Source organism: Homo sapiens, chromosome 1 (assembly GCF_000001405.40).
Source record: "Homo sapiens chromosome 1, GRCh38.p14 Primary Assembly".
Taxonomy (NCBI): domain Eukaryota; kingdom Metazoa; phylum Chordata; class Mammalia; order Primates; family Hominidae; genus Homo; species Homo sapiens.
This window is the reverse complement of record NC_000001.11, coordinates 155087851-155104443: the sequence shown is the minus strand read 5'-3', so window position 1 is coordinate 155104443 and position 16593 is coordinate 155087851. Positions and strand designations below refer to the sequence as shown.

The following is a 16593-nucleotide window of genomic DNA, read 5'->3' as shown; positions in this document are numbered from 1 at the left end:
TACTAAAAATACAAAAATTAGCTGGGCATGGTGGCGCACGCCTGTAATCCCAGCCGCTCAGGAAGCTGAGGGAGGAGAATTAACTTGAGCCTGGGAGGTGGAGGTTGCAGTGAACCAAGATTGTGCCACTGCACTCCAGCCTGGGCCACAGAGTGAGACCCTGTCTCGAAAAAACTAAACTACTCGGAAATTAAATATAGGTAAGTAAAAACAATTAACCAAAGGAATGGCAAGTCTGAGGAAATCTCTGAGAAAGCAGAATAATTAGACAAAGAGTTGGGGAACAAAGGAGAAAAATAGAAAAATTAGAGAATCAGCCCAGGAGACTGAACATTCAACTATAAAAGAGAGGAGACGGGAGGAAATTATCCAAGAAATAATACAAAACGCTTTCTTCCTCCATTTCCTCCTTTCTTTTCCTCCCTTCCTCCCTCCTCCCTCCCTCCCTTTCTCTCTCTCTCTCTCCTCTCTCTCTCTCTCTCTTTCTTTTCTTAATAAGGAGTCTTGCTCTGTTGCCCAGGCGGGAGTGCAGTGGCATGATCTCAGCTCACTGCAACCTCTGCCTCCTGCGTTCAAGCAATTCTCCTGCTTTAGCCTCCCAAGTAGTTGGGACTACAGGCGCCTGCCATCACACCTGGCTAATTTTTGTATTTTCAGTAGAGATGAGGTTTTGCCATATTGGCCAGGCTGGTCTTGAACTCCTGACCTCAGGTGACCCACCTGCCTTGGCCTCCCAAAGTGCTGCCATTACAGGCGTGAGCCACTGCGCCTGGCCAAGAAACTTTCTAAGAACTGAAAATTTAGAATGAGTGATAAAGATTAGTATTCATACACAGGATCGGGAATCTGTTTTGACTTGGATTTCTCAATAGCAGCGCTAGAAACTGGGATAGCTGAATCAGTGACCTTGAACTTCTGAGGGAAAATGTTTTCCAACTTAGAATTCTACCCCCAGCTAATCTAACAATCAAGAATGAGGTTAGTGCCGGGCGCGGTGGCTCATGCCTGTAATCCTAGCACTTTTGGAGGCTAAGGTGAGTGGATCGCCTTAAGACAGGAGTTCCGAGAACAGCCTGGCCAACATGGTGAAAACCCACCTCTACTAAAAATACAAAAATTAGCCGAGCGTGGTGGCGCACGCCTGTAGTCCCAGCTACTCTAGAGGCTGAGGAAGGAGAATCGCTTGAACACGGGAGGTGGAGGTTGCAGTGAGCCAAGATCGCACCACTGCATTCCAGCCTGGGCCACAGAGCGAGACTCCATCTCAAGAAAAAAACAAAAAGCCGGGTGCGGTGGCTCACGCCTGTAATCCCAGCACTTTGGGAGGCCGAGGCAGGGGATCACAAGGTCAGGAGATCGAGACCATCCTGGCTAACACGGTGAAACCCCATCTCTACTAAAAATACAAAAAATTAGCCTGGCGTGGTGGCAGGCGCCTGTAGTCCCAGCTACTCGGGAGGCTGAGGCAGGAGAATGGCGTGAACTTGGGAGGCGGAGCTCACAGTGAGCCGAGATCGTGCCACTGCACTCCAGCCTGGACGACAGAGCAAGACTCCGTATCAAAAACAAAACAAAACAAAAAACAAACAAAAAATACATACATACAATACATCCCGGAGATCTTTCTTGGAGAAATTCCTTACTCCTTTGTCTAGTGGCTTATTCCATTGCGTGGATGTACAGTAGTGTATTTAGCCAGTCCTCCATAGGACACTTGGGTTGTTTCCAATACTTTACTATTGTCAGTGAATGCCACAATGAATAACTATATACCTACTTCGTTTCAAATGTGCATAGACATAGCTGCCGGACAAATTCCCAGAAGGAGGATTGCTAGGTTAAAGGGTAAATGCATTTGTCATTTTGCTTGGTATCTCCAAATCCCCTTCCATGTGAGTGATAGAGCTTTGCCCTCCCACTGGCAATGTATGAAAATGCCTGTTCCCTAAAGCCACGTCAACAGACTGTGTTGTAAACCTTTGGATTTTTGCCAAGCTGATAAATGAGAAGTGCTATCTTGGTGTGGTTTTAATTTTCATTTCTCTTATGTGTGAGAATGAACATCCTTTTAAACATTTAAAAGCCACTTGCATTTCCTTTCAGTAAACTGTTCATTTTCTTTGGTCATTTCTCTTTTTTTTTTGAAACAGTCTCACTCTGTTACCCAGGCTGGAGTGCAGTGGCGCAATCTCGGCTCACTGCAACCTCTGCCTCCCAGGTTCAAGCAATTCTCCTGCCTCGGCCTCCCGAATAGCTGGGATTACAGGCGTGCCCCACCATGCCTGGAGAACTTTTTTGTATTTTTAGTAGATACGGGGTTTCATCATATTGGCCAGGCTGGTCTCAAACTCCTGACCTTGTGATCCGCCCACCTCGGCCTCCCAAATTGGTAGGATTACAGGCGTGAGCCACTGCTCCCGGCCTCTTTGGCCATTTCTCTATTGGGTTATTGGTCTTTCCAGTTAGTTATTAATTCCAAGGAAAAGAAAAAGTTTTTAAAGAACTAGAATGAATCATAGTATATTATGTGAGTCAATTGTGAACAATTGTCACAGTTTAATAACCATCTAAATGCTAAATATTGATTTAACCAAAAATTTTGGATTTGACTCTATTGGGAGGGCAGTGTATGTGTTTCTGTGCATTGAGAGGCAGGACACAGAGAACTGAATCCTCATGTTTCATGAGAGGAAGTCGATAGAGCAGGTCTAACATTGAATAAAGAAAAAGAAAAAAGAGAAAAACAGCAGTGCAAGCATCTTATTTAGAAATATAAAGGTAAGGCCGGGCACGGTGGCTCACACCTGTAATCTCAGCACTTTGGGAGGCCGAGGTGGGCGGATCATGAGGTCAGGAGATTGAGACCACCCTGGCTAACACGGTGAAACCCTGTCTCTACTAAAAAATACAAAAAAATTAGTCGGGCGTGGCTGGGCGCTGTGGCTCACGCCTGTAATCCCAGCACTTTGGGAGACTGAGGCGGGCGGATCACGAGATCAGGAGATTGAGACCATGGTGAAACCCTGTCTCTACTAAAAATACAAACAATTAGCCGGCCTTGTGGCGGGCACCTGTAGTCCCACTGTAGTCCTACTGGGGAGGCTGAGGCAGGAGAATGGCGTGAACCCAGGAGGCGGAGCTTGCAGTGAGCCGAGATCGCACCACTGCACTCCAACCTGGGTGACAGAGCGAGACTCCGTCTCAAAAAAAAAAAAAAAAAAAAAAATATATATATATATATATATATATATATATATATATATATAGGTAAACTGGGTGTGGCGGTGCACACCTGCAGTCTCAACTACTTGGGAGGCTGGGGGAGGATTGTTTGAGCCCAGGAATTTAAGGGTACAGTGAGCTATGATTGTGCCACTGCACTCCAGCCTGGGCAATAGAGTGAGGCCCTGTCTCTAAAAATAAAAAAAAATAAAAAGAAATATGGGCCGGGTGTGGTGGCTCACGCCTGTAATCCCAGCACTTTGGGAGGCCAAAGCGGGCAAATCACCTGAGGTCAAGAGTTTGAGATGAGCCTGGCCAACATGGAGAAACCATATCTCTACTAAAAATACAAAATTAGCCAGGCATAGTGGCACACAACTGTAGTCCCGGCTACTCACTGGGACTACAAATATCAGAAGAAACTAGAAGATTGGAGAGTGGTTGCCTATGTGATGTGAGATTGGGAGCTGGAGAAGGGTGTGGCAGGATGTGCCATTTTTCTTTCTTTCTTTTTTTTTTTCTTTAGATGGAATCTTGCTCTGTCGCCCAGGCTGGAGTGCAGTGCCACCATCTCTGCTCACTGCTGCAACCTCCACCTCCTGGGTTCAAGCAATTCTCCTGCCTCAGCCTCCTGAGTAGCTGGGATTACAGGCACGTGCCACCATGCCCAGCTAATTTTTGTATTTTTAGCAGAGGCAGGGTTTCACCATGTTAGCCAGGCTGGTCTCAAACTCCTGACCTCAAGTGATCCACAAGCCTCAGCTTCCCAAAGTGCTGGGATTACAAGTGTGAGCTGCCACGCCTGGCCTCTGTCATTTTTCATCAAAGCTGTTTGGTCCATTTGACTTTTTTTTTTTTTGAAATAGAGTTTCGCTCTTGTTGCCCAGGCTGAAGTGCAATGGCACGATCTCGGCTCACTGCAACCTCTGCCTCCTGGGTTCAAGCGATTCTCCTGCCTCAGCCTCCCGAGTAGCTGGGATTACAGGTATGCACCACCATGCCCAGCTAATTTTTTTTTTTTTTTTGAGACGCAGTTTCGCTTTGTTGCCCAGGCTGGAGTGCAGTGGTGTGATCTTGGCTCACTGTGAGCTCCGCCTCCCAAGTTCATGCCATTCTCCTGCCTCAGCCTCCCGAGTAGCTGGGACTACAGGTGCCTGCCACCATGCCCGGCTAATTTTTCGTATTTTTTTTAGTATAGGCGGGGTTTTACTGTGTTAGCCAGGATGGTCTCGATCTCCTGACCTCATGATCAGCCCACCTCAGCCTCCCAAAGTGCTGGGATTAGAGGTGTGAGCCACCGCGCCCGGCCTAATTTCGTATTTTTAGTAGAGACAGGGTTTCTCCATGTTGGTTAGGCTGGTTTTGAACTCCCAACCTCAGGTGATCTGCCTCCCTCAGCCTCCCAAAGTGCTGAGATTACAGGTGTGAGCCACTGCGCCTGGCCCCATTTGACTTTTTTTTTTAGAGACAGAGTTGGGCTCTGTCACTCAGGCTGGAGTGCAGTGACACGATCACAGCTCATTGCAACCTCAACCTCGTGGGCTCGAGCAATCCTCCCACTCAGCCTCCTGAGCAGCTGGGACTACAGGCGTGTGCCACCACACCCACTAATTAAAAAGTTGTTTTTGTAGAGACAGGGTCTGGCTATGTTGCCTAGACTGGTCTGAAACTCTTGGCCTCAAGCAATCCTCCTGCCTCAGCCTTCCAAAGTGCTGGGGTTACAGGTGTGAGCCACTGCACTTGACCCTATTTGACTTTTTAAACTACGTCATGATGTAATGTGTTACTATGATAAAATAAAATTAATTATATGCAATTAAAAGGGATGATGTAGTCTGGGTGTGGTGGTTCATGCCCGTAATCCCAGGACTTTGGGAGGCTGAAGCCGGAGGATGGCTTGAGCTCAGGAGTTTGAGAATAGCCTGGCAACATGGAGAAACCTGGTCTCTATAAAAAATATGAGTTAGCTGGACATGGGGGCGTATGCCTATGGTCACAGCTACTTGGGAGGCTGAGGTGGGTGGACTGCTTGAGCCTGGGAGGTCGAGGCTACAGTGAGCCATGATCATGCCATGGCCCTCCAGTCTGGGAACAGAGCAAGACCCTGTCATAAAAAAAAAAAAAAAAAAAAAAAAAAAAAGGATGGTGTATACATTACAATATAAAGCCCCTCCCCTGCCCTGTGATATACAGGAGTGTTAATGCTAGTTTTGAGGCTTTTGTTTTTGTCGTTTTGAGACAGAGTCTTTCTCTATCATCCAGTCTGGAGTGCAGTGGCACGATCTCTGCTCACTGCAACCTCCACCTCCTGGGTTCAAGTGATTCTCCTGCCTCAGCCTCCCAAGTAGCTGGGATTACAGGCATGCACCACCACACCTGGCTAGTTTTTGCATTTTTAGTAGAAACCAGGTTTCGCCATGTTGGCCAGGCTGGTCTCAAACTCCTGGCCTCAGGTGATCCACCTGCCTTGGCCTCCCAAAATGCTGAGATTACAGGCGTGAGCCACTGTGCCCAACCACAACAAGGTCTTTTTTATTTATTTATTTATTTTGGGAGATGGAATGTTGCTCTGTCGCCAGGCTGGAGTGCAGTGGCACAATCTTGGTTCACTGCATCCTCTGCCTCCCGGGTTCAAGCAATTCTCCTGCCTCAGCCTCTTGAGTAGCTGGGAGTAGATGGCTGCATTTTACAGGGCAGAGTACTGGAGAGGAAAGAGCTGCACAGCGATCTGCAGGGTCTCCCTCAAGTCTTCAGCTGCGTGCTGAGCAGTATATGCATATGAGGAAAGGACAGGATTAGGGAAAGAACCACAAGAAAGATGCAGGAAGGCCGGGTGTGGTGGCTCACGCCTGTAATCCCAGCACTTTGAGAGGCTGAGGTGGGCAGATCACCTGAGGTTAGGAGTTCAAGACCAGCCTGGCCAACATGGTGAAACCCTGTCTCTACTAAAAATATAAAAATTAGCCAGGCATGGTAGTGCGAGCCTGTAATCCCAGCTACTCAGGAGGCAGGAGAATTGCTTGAACCCGGGAGGCGGAGGTTGCAGTGAGCGGAGATCGTGTCACTGCACTCCAGCCCGGGCAGGAAGAGCAAAACTCCATCTCAAAAAAAAAAAAAAAAAAAAGCAAAAAATCTGAAGTGCTCATACAGTGCCAGGAATACTTTGTGTTCCCACAAACCAGAGTGGAAAGACCTCCTCATAGTTATCGGTTTGTGCCAGTTATTAATGTATTGCCTCTCAGCTCTAAATTGATTTTTCATTGCCTGCTCTGTGAAAATGTAGCTGGGCCCTTTAATTACTTTTCTTTTGCCAGCCCAGCATGATGTTAAGCTTTGTCAATGCAAAGTGCTAGAGAGACACCGTGGGAGAAAGGAGCTTTTCTTCCTGATTCTGGTGTGCTCCATGGGTCCATAGCACATGCAGCTTCTCAGATGCAGAGAGGGGAGCTGGGAAACAAGGACCATCTTCTCACTTGCTTTTTTTTTTTTGAGACTGAGTCTTGCTCTGTCGCCCAGGCTGGAGTGCCGTGGCAAAATCTCAGCTCACTGCAACCTCTTCCTCCCAGGCAGCTGTGATTCCAGGCACATGCCACCGTGCCCGGCTAATTTTTGTATTTTTTAAATTTTTATTTATTTATTTATTTATTCATTTTTTGAGATGGAGTCTCACTCTATCGCCGAGGCTGGAGTGCAGTGGCACGATCTTGGCTCACTGCAAACTCCACCTCCCAGGTTCACGCCATTTTCCTGCCTCAGCCTCCCGAGTAGCTGGGACTACAGGCGCCTGCCACCGCGCCTGGCTAATTTTTTGTATTTTTAATAGAGACAGGGTTTCACTGTGTTAGCCAGGATGGTCTCGATCTCCTGACCTCGTGATCCGCCCGCCTCGGCCTCCCAAAGCACTGGAATTACAGGCGTGAGCCACCGCGCCCGGCCAATTTTTGTATTTTTAGTAGAGAGAGGGTTTCACCATGTTGGCCAGGCTGGTCTCAAACTCCTGACCTCAAGTGATCCACCCACCTCAGCCTCCCAAAGTGCTGGGATTACAGGCATGAGCCACCGCACCCGGCCCCACCTGCTTTAAACAACTAAAACACCTGACAGACTATATGAAACAGTGATTCCAGACATAGGACAACAGGCAGAATGGGGAGGGCTGTTCTTGGGTGTTCCACCTTAGACCCAGGAAGAGTAGTCGCTTCTTGTATCTGCTATTCCTGATTTTTTTTTTTTTTTTTGAGACAGAGTCTCGCTCTGTCACCCAGGCTGGAGTGCAATGGCAGGATCTCGGCTCAATGCAACCTCTGCCCTCCCCAGTTCAAGCAATTCTCCTGTCTCAGCCTCCTGAGTAGCTGGGATTACAGGCACCCGCCATCATGCCCAGCTAATTTTTGTATTTTTGTAGAGACAGGGTTTCACCATGTTGCCCAGGCTGGTCTTGAACTCCTGACCTCAGGTGATCCACCTGCCTCAGCCTCCTAAAGTGCTGGGATTACAGGCATGAGCCACTGCATCTGGCCCCCTATTCCTGTATTCATTTAGAGTTCTGTTTATTTCTTACTAGCCAATCCCTTCTAACCTCAATTCCTTGTTAAGTTAATACCTTTTTACATTAGACTGCATGTGGTGGGTCACACCTGTGATTCCAGCACTTTGGGAAGCTGAGGTGGGAGGATTGCTTAAGTCCAGGAGTTCCAGACCAGCCTAGGCAACATAGGGTGACCCTCTGTCTCTACAAAAGAAATGTAAAAATTAGCCAGGTGTGGTAGCACACGCTTGTGATCCCAGCTACTCAGGAAGCTAAGGCTGGAGAACCACTTCAGCCCAGGAGGTGGAAGCTATGGTGAGCCATGATTGCACCACTGCATACCGGCATGGGTAACAAAGCAAGACCTTGTCTCAAAAAAAAATTTTTTTTCTTTTTACATTAAACTTTCCCTGTTCAAATTGCTGTGTGGTTTCTGCCTCTTGACTAGATACTGACTGATACATGGGACATCAAGTAGAGTCATCAGATGATACTGCCTCAGTGGTGAGAGCAAATTAGCCTTAGACCAAAGGCTATTCTCCTCTTGCCAAATGGTACCTAAAAGCACACCTTAAAAGGATCAATCTGTTTCCAAGGAACTTAACTAAGTCCCTGAACGAGGCTCAAATATATTCAAAGGAATACAAAAAAATCTAGCACCAAACAACATAAAATATACAATGTCTGGCATCCAATCAATAATTACCAGGCATGCAAAGACACAGGCAAATAATGACACAAAGCTGACCCAGAAATGTCACAGAATTAGTAGACAAGGACTTTAGCTCCAATAGCTATTATTAAATACCATCCATATATTCAAACAGATATGGAAAAACATAAACACGATGTAAAGAGGTGTGAAGATATAAAATAAGACCTCAATTGAACTTCTAAAGATGAAATGTATAATATCTGAGATGAAAAGTATACTGGATGGAAATAAAAGCAGATTAGACCCTGTAGAAAACAGGTTTTTGAAGACTTAGCAATAGAAACTATCCAAGATGAAACACAGAGAGGAAAAAAAGACTTAAAAACAAAAAACAAAAAACAAAAACAAAACCTCCAAAACCAAAATCCAGAAAATCAGTGAGCTGTGGAATAACAAGTAGCCTGTATACCTGTTTGGAGACCAGAAACGTGGGTCTAACAGATTCACAGGAGAGATGACAGAAAAAATATCTGAAGGAACAATAATTTTCAAATTTGATGGAAACTATAAATCCCTATGTCGAAGAAGCTCAATAAACCCTAAGCAGAAGAAATATGAAGACAACTACACCAAGGGTACATCATAATCTGCCTTAATCACTGCTGAACACCAGTGATAAAGACACAAATCTTAAGAGCTGCCAGAGGAAAAAAACACATTGTGTAAAAAGGAAAAATAGAAGTGATTTCTCGTCAGAAACAATGCAACCCTGAAGACAGTGGAGTAATGTCTTTAAAGTACGAAAAGATAAAAACTGTCAACCTAGAATTCAGTGGAGATATCTTTCAAATAGGAAGATGGAATAAAGATGCATTCAGACATTCCAAAATTGAAAGAATTCATCATCAGTAGACCTGCACTAGAAGAACGGCTTTAAAAAGTCCTTCAAGCAGAAGAAAAATGATACCAGATGGAAATCTCCGTCTACACAAAGGAATGAAGAGAGCTGGAAATGGTAAATATGTGGGTAGATAGAAAAGATATTTTTCTGATTTTAAAATTCTCTTTAAAAGATACTTGAGGGTTTAGAGCAAATCTAATAATGTATTGTGGGGCTTATAGCATGTGTAGAAATAAATCCATGGTGACAATAGCACAAAGGCGGAGAGGTGGGGAATGGGAGGAAGGTGTTTGCGCTGAGTGGTGTGATATTACTTGATGGAGATAGACTATAAGTTAAAGAAGCATTGTGTAATCCTAAAAGAACCACAAAAAAATGTAAGTGTAGTATTATGAACCAATAAAGGAGATAAAATGAAGATCACAAGGGGTGTGCTGGCCACCCCCTTGGCACACAGAACAGTTGGGTGGAGTTCCCCAGCCCAGCAGGGTCCCATAGAGCCTCTGTAGGTGTTTGGGATAGAATGAGTACCGTCAGAAAGAAACTTCCTCTCCTGCCACCTTCTGGCAGTAAATCCAGCCTATTTTTAACTCAGGCCTCTGCTTAAGTGCTTTTGGCTAAAAGAGAATTGCTGCTTCTAAGAATCTCAGGCAGCCACAGTCTCCTCGGCTTCTCTGCTCGCTCCAGCCCTAGAAGGCTCAGGGACTGCTCAGATGTCCCCGGCTTCCCAACCACTTGTCCCAGGAGAGGAGGCTCCCTCAACTCTGGGTGCTCACTGTGGGCACCCACAGACAGGCAGCCCTTCAGCAGGGTGCAGGTGTGAGAGGATCTCTAAGGGATGTCATCTCATGGAGACTGCGGGGATGGTGCCACGGAGTGGTGTGAGGGCAGCCTGGAGCGAACAAACTGCAGAGTGTTGCTCCAGGAGGGTGCACATGTGTACAAAGGCGCCCTGTGTGAAAAGGGCGTGCTCTGTTGTGAGTGTGAATGTTTTTGTGACTGCTTATGCTGTGAAACATAAACACAGCAGCCTCCGTCCTTTTGATCATGCTGCCCCCTCTGCTGGCCTGTCTCCCCTCGTAGTCCCTCCCAGCCAACACCCACACCCTAGCTGGCAAACTGCCAATCATCCCTCAAGCCTCTCATCTCTCCCAAAGTCTTCCCTGACAACTCTGGCCAGAGGCCCAGCCAAATGGCCGCCAGACTCGGGGTTGTATACCCAGGGGTTAGCATGATGCCTGCTGTGTGCTTAGCCTGCAAGGAGGGAGGAAGGCTCTTAAGGCCTCTTTTGGGGGCCGTATTAGGAGGGCACTGAGAATATTTGCTTTTTCCACTGTCAGACCAGGTCCTGCCAGGCCCTGAAGGGCACCCAAGTGACAAGCCTGGGGTCACAGAGGGATGCGAGGGTCACCCTCCATGCCCAGTGTGCTTAATGGTGCAGAGAGGCCAGGCCTGGGGTCTGTGCCCAGAGTGGGCAGTGCTGGTGTCCAGGTGGTCAGATATGGGCATGGCCCCACGTGGAGTTGGACAGCCTCTGTTGATTTCTCCTCAGGGCTCTCCCTGGAGGCTCAAGGTCTGGCATCTGTGTATGTGTGTGTGTGTGTGTGTGTGTGTGTGTGTGTGTGTGTGTGTGTGCAGGCATGTCTGTGGTGTGGGAAGAGGGCTTTCTCCTGTCTCAAGCTTAGCTCTTACTCTTCCCAGCCCCCTCTGCTCCCCACCATTGTCTTCTCCTTCACCAGCACAAGGCAGGAGTGGGTAGGAGGTTCCCAAGGTCCCTGGGAAGAATGTGGTGGGCACTGCGTGTGATGTTGGGTGTGGGCACGTATCTGTGGGTGCACATATGGATGTGATTGAGAAGCCCCTGCCTCTCCTTGTGTTTGTGTATGTGTCTGGGTATATCCTTGGGGTCCTAGAGGTTGTTTTTGTGTCTCCTGTGGCTGTTGAAATGACCTATCGGTTTCCAGAGGGTGTGAATGTGGCTCTGATCTACCCCCTCCCACCTCCTCCCTCTTCTGATTTTCTTGACTCTAGGGTTTGCCCAGTTGGCTTGGCTGGGATTGTCATTGGGTCCGTGTTAGAGAATTGTATCATCTGTTGAATGCCAGCCCTCAAGTGTGTCACCGTATGTGACCCTGGATGCAAGCGCGGCTCAGGGTACCTGGGAGCCCCTTGCCCTGTGTGGGGTCTGGTGCCTGCGTGAGTGTGTTATAGACAGTGGGGCGTTAGTATGTGCCTAATACCCATGAATGGCTTGAGTGTGACGGCCGCAAAACGGGTCGAATGTGCACACATGGATGTGTGTGCAAGTGATGGATGAGTGTGTGTGCGTGTTCCCTCCTGTGGGTGCCTGGACTGGTCCCTCAGTCCCGTGGGGGGCCTCTCCCACTTCAGTGGTGTGAACAAAGCCCCTGCTTTCCTCCCTGCTTTGCCCCCCAGCCCCCTCTCCCTCAGCACCGAGTTTGATTGACTGTGTGTGGTTGCAAGGTTATGAGATTATATGATTGGTGTATGGCATATGAAGTGTATGCCATTGAATGTGAAACTCTAGTATCCCCTGGCCAATGCCAGCCTCTCAGAGGCAGGCTGGTGGACCTCCGGTCAGTTGAACCTAGCTCTCCCAGGTTCCTAGGCTGGCCCATCCATCCTTTTATAGCCAGGCTTGGCCCCTGTAATTACCTGGGGCCAGATGCTGTGGCGAAGGCCAAGAGTTTGGTGCTAACACTCTGGGGAGGAGTCATATCTGCCCCTCCCCCAGGCCACACCGGAGGAGACTGGAGGAGGCCAGACCTCTTTGGAGTCAGATCACAGGCCACATCACTAGGTTCAGCCTGAAGCTGCTCTGCTGCTCTGGGCCCAGTGTGTCTCTGGCTGACCTGGCCCCAGCACATCTGGGCTATCCCATCCGCGTCACACTTCCCCAGACTGTCGTCCACAGGCTGCAGACACCGAGCCTGTGTTCCCATCACCTCCCACCTGGACCCCTCTTGCCAGTCCATGCCCCCAACCCAGCTCATGCCCCTCGTTCCCCCCCTCCATATCCTCCCGCCCCCCTCATCCTAGTCCTTGTCTCCTGGTCCCAGCTTGTGTCCTTCATTCCAATCCATGGCCCCCCAGCCCCGTCACCACCACCTCCAGTCCACGCCTCTGTCCCTGCCACGTACCTCCAGCCCAGTCTGTATCCCTGGTTTGCCAGCTGGACGGAACATGGAGGTTGAGAGAGAATGGCGAGATTTGCGTGCCGAGTAGGTCTGGGCTGGACGGCTGTGGACTGAGCCCAAGTCCACTCCCAACCCCATGGCATCTACAACTAGGGGAGGAAAAGAAGAGAGTGGGGATAAGAGAAATGGACGGAGAGTGGGCTGGGCCTTAGCCCACCCTGCCCCAGGCCTGAGAACAGAGGGTCCTACGGCGCAGCTGCTTGAGTCCCCTCAAGGACCAACACCCGCTCCACCGACCGCAAACCCATCCCAAGCTCCCCTCACAGCTCCGGCGAGTCCCAGCCCAGGTGCTGCGCCACCTGGTGGATATCGGCAGACTTGCAGGCCCCGAGTGGCAAACCCACGTGGCAGCGAGGCTTAGACCCCAGCCGGGATTGTAAATAGCTCCTTCCCTGCTACCCACAGCGCTGCTGGAGTGACCTCTCACCCCGAAGGGAGGGGCGGGGCAGCTCTGAACTTTACTCTCCAAGCCAAAATCTCTGTTCAGTTGTTTGATGTTGCTGTTGTTTTTCACCCTGGGGAGGACGGGAAGAGGAGGGATGTGTGCGATCTCTACCTGTGTTGGGGGCATTAACCTGTGACAGCCTCTGGGAATGCCAGCGTGTCAGGTGGGAGCCCTCTTTGTGCCTGTGCTGGAGGGGGCCAACATGAGACAACACAAGGGTGAAGAAGACCCTGCCCAGGGTGAGGCTGCTCTGCCCTCAGGCCATACCACTGTGCCTGGTGACATCTTACCACTGCCTTGGCCAGGACGCCCTGGGCTCTGCAGACCTTGGTGTCACAAAGTAGGGCCCTGTACCAGACAGGCTCAGGGTCATTGGTGTCTGGCCATCTAAGTGCAGACCTCTCTCCCCAGTCTTCCTTACATGCTCTGGGATTGAAAGCCTCGCTGGACGGGAAAATCCTCAGCAGGGCTCCGCAGCTTTTAAAACTGATTTCATTTATTTATTATTTATTTAGATATTTATTTTTGAGAGACAGAGTCTCGTTCTGTCGCCCAGGATGGAGTGCAGTGGCTCGATCTCGACCCACTGGAACCTCCGCCTACCAGGTTCAAGCGATTCTCCTGCCTCAGCCTCCTGAGTAGTTGGGATTACAGACATGCACCACATGCCTGGCTAATTTTTGTATTTTTAGTAGATACTGGGTTTCGCCATGTTGTCCAGGATGGTCTCAAACTCCTGACCTCAAATGATCTGCCTGCCTTGGCCTCTCAAGTGCTGGGATTACAAGTGTGAGCCACAGTGCCTGCCAATTTACTTATTTATTTATTTTAAAGACAGGGTCAGCCGGGCGCGGTGGCTCATGCCTGTAATCCCAGCACTTTGGGAGGCTGAGGTGGGCGGATCACCTGAGGTTGGGAGTTCGAGACCAGCTTGACCAACATGGAGAAACCCTGTCTCTACTAAAAATACAAAATTAGCCAGGTGTGGTGGCACATGCCTGTAATCCCAGCTACTCGGGAGGCTGAGGCAGGAGAATCACTTGAACTCAGGAGGTGGAGGTTGCGGTGAGATGAGATCACACCATTGCACTCCAGTCTGGGCAACAAGAGCAAAACTCCACCTCAAAAAAAAGAGTCAGGGTCTTGCTCTTGCTCTGTCGCCCAGGCTGGAGTACAGTGGTGTGATCATAGCACATTGCAGCCTTGCTCTCCTGGGCTCAAGCAATTCTCCCGTCTCAGCCTCCTGAGTAGCTAAAACTACAGGTGCATGCCACCACGCCTAGCTTTTTTTTTTTTTTTTTTTTTTTGTAGAAATAGGGTCTCACTATTTTGCCCTGGCTGGTCTTGAACTCCTGGGCTCAAGCGATCCTCTCACCTCAGTCTTCCCAGTAGCTGGGACTAAAGGTTTGTCACCACACCTGGATATTTTTTTTATTTTTTGTAGAGATGGAGTCTTCCTATGTTGCCCAGGCCGGTCTCAAACTCCTGGGCTCAAGTGATCCTCCTACCTCAGCCTCCCAAAATGCTGGGATTAGAGGCCTGAGCTACTGTGCCTGGCCATTTGTTTTGTTTTTGTTTTTGTTTTTTTAAAGATGGGGTCGGCTGGGCACACTGGCTCACGCCTGTAATCCCAGCACTTTGGGAGGCTGAGGCGGGCAGATCACCTGAGGTCGGGAGTTCAAGAACAGCCTGGCCAACATGGCAAAACCCCATCTCTACTGAAAATACAAAAATTAGACAGGCGTGGTGGCATGCACCTGTAATCCCAGCTACTCAGGAGGCTGAGGCAGGAGAATCACTTGAACCCAGGAGGCGGGGGTTGCAGTGAGCTGAGATGGTGCCACTGCACCCCAGCCTGGGCGACTGAGTGAGATTCTGTCTCAAAAAAAATAAAAATAAAAATAAAAGATGGGGTCTTGCTATATTACCTGGGCTGGCATTAAACTCCAGAGGTCAAGCGGTCCTCCCACCTCAGCCTCCTGTTAGACCCACTTTGAATGCCAGCCCTATCATTAGCCAGGCTGTGTGGCCCTAAGTCTTAGATCCTCATCTGTGTTATTGGAATAGTGAGGCTTACAAAGGCGCAGCACTCGGCACATAGGAGGTGCTCAGTGAATGGAAGCTGGCTTATTCTAGTTACTGCCCAAAGTGCTTGGCCCTTTCAGTCTTACTATTCCAGAATTTTTGAATCTGCAAGGCCCTCCCCCATCCCATCTGGCCAGCCCCTATCCTGCCTGGCCCGGGGAATTGAAGCAAGCCTGCAGCCCAGGCCCACTACTATGGGTCCTCGAGATTCTCCCCAACAGTACCCGACCCCGCTCTGTGTATCTCCTCCTGTCTGAAGCCTCTTTCCTCTGTCCCTAGGCAAGTGTGTGCTTTTTCTTGGCATTCCCACAGCTCCCAGGCATTTACCCACGAAAGAGCTGGTTATGTTGTCAGTTATGTATGTGTGTGTTACCAATTTCTGCTCATACATCAACACATACTAAAGTATGAGCTTATTTTGGGGTAGAGACTATATCTTGTGTCTCCAATACCCAGGATAGAGCCTGGCACTCGGCAGGTGCTCGATAAATGTGGATTGAATGCATGGACGATTGGATGGATAGGCCCACCTTTTCTGTCTTATCAGTCTGTAGGGAGTCTCAGACTGGTCTAGTGGCTGCCCCCAGTTCTTTCCCCACCTGCTCTCCCACCCCACACTCTTCCCTGTTCCGCTATTGGGAAACCCACCCACTCTGCAGAGTCTAGCTCAGATTCCATTTTCCATGTTTTATGGGTAGAGAGGAGCAGAAAACACAGTCCTTACCACCAAGGGCTCATTCTCACAAAGCAGCCGGCAAGAGCCACAGGGGCACACAGGATCTGGCCTGCTCACACAGTGCCAATTAGAGAGCCTGGGTGGGATGGAGTCCCATGGGTGCACAGCTTGGCAATAAGGTGTCCCCTCCCTGGGCCAGGCACTTGGCTCAGCAAGTGAAGTTGCAGGTACATTTCAGCCCCTATCCGCACTCCCTTATGCTGTGCTGGTCTGTAAACCCTGACCTTCTCTGGGGCCCCTGGGAAGCGGCCATTATCCTGTCTTTTGCCCTTCTGTCCTCTCTGCCCTCCCGAGCGATGCAGGGTGGTGTAGTTATGAGCAGCCCCAGCCCCAGCAAACTCCCAGCACCTTGGGCATAATGTTTGAAATGAGTAAAATTACAAAGGGTTATAAAGAAAGCTAATTATATTGAAAGAGTTATCAAAACATTTACATTTCTTGATATAGTAATATATATGCTTTCTTATTAACACATTAAAAATGAGGAAGGCCTAACAACTATGATCATTTCAAAGTACTGATGAGTGTAAATTGTATTTTGAGATATCTTCAACAACTATAATGCAGCCTGAAAACGTGTGATTTCTGGTTACAAAGTCACAGGTACTATTAATACTATTATGGCTTGCTGCCCAAGCACACAAGAGAATGTTAAATTTTAGTTATAGGCAAGTGAAAATAAAGATAGTTTTTTTTCTGTCTAGGTTCTCAAATCCCCTGAAATCCATAGACTCCAGTCAAGAACCTCAATTACAGCATGGAAGGGGAAGAAAAGGTGGAAACCATAATTGATGGAGCCTTTA

General features: G+C 48.8%; 2 annotated features.

Moving 5' to 3' along the window:
- Positions 936–1102: a silencer, noted in NCBI's record as "fragment chr1:155075818-155075984 (GRCh37/hg19 assembly coordinates)". NCBI's record gives its function as "represses an EF-1alpha promoter that drives an FKBP-Casp9 reporter gene in an ReSE screen in HepG2 liver carcinoma cells {active_cell/tissue: HepG2}" and the evidence as "EXISTENCE:reporter gene assay evidence [ECO:0000049][PMID:32094911]".
- Positions 10312–10926: an enhancer, noted in NCBI's record as "H3K27ac-H3K4me1 hESC enhancer chr1:155065994-155066608 (GRCh37/hg19 assembly coordinates)". NCBI's record gives its function as "activates a minimal SCP1, AML or CMV promoter by ChIP-STARR-seq in primed H9 embryonic stem cells {active_cell/tissue: H9 hESC(primed)}" and the evidence as "EXISTENCE:reporter gene assay evidence [ECO:0000049][PMID:30033119]".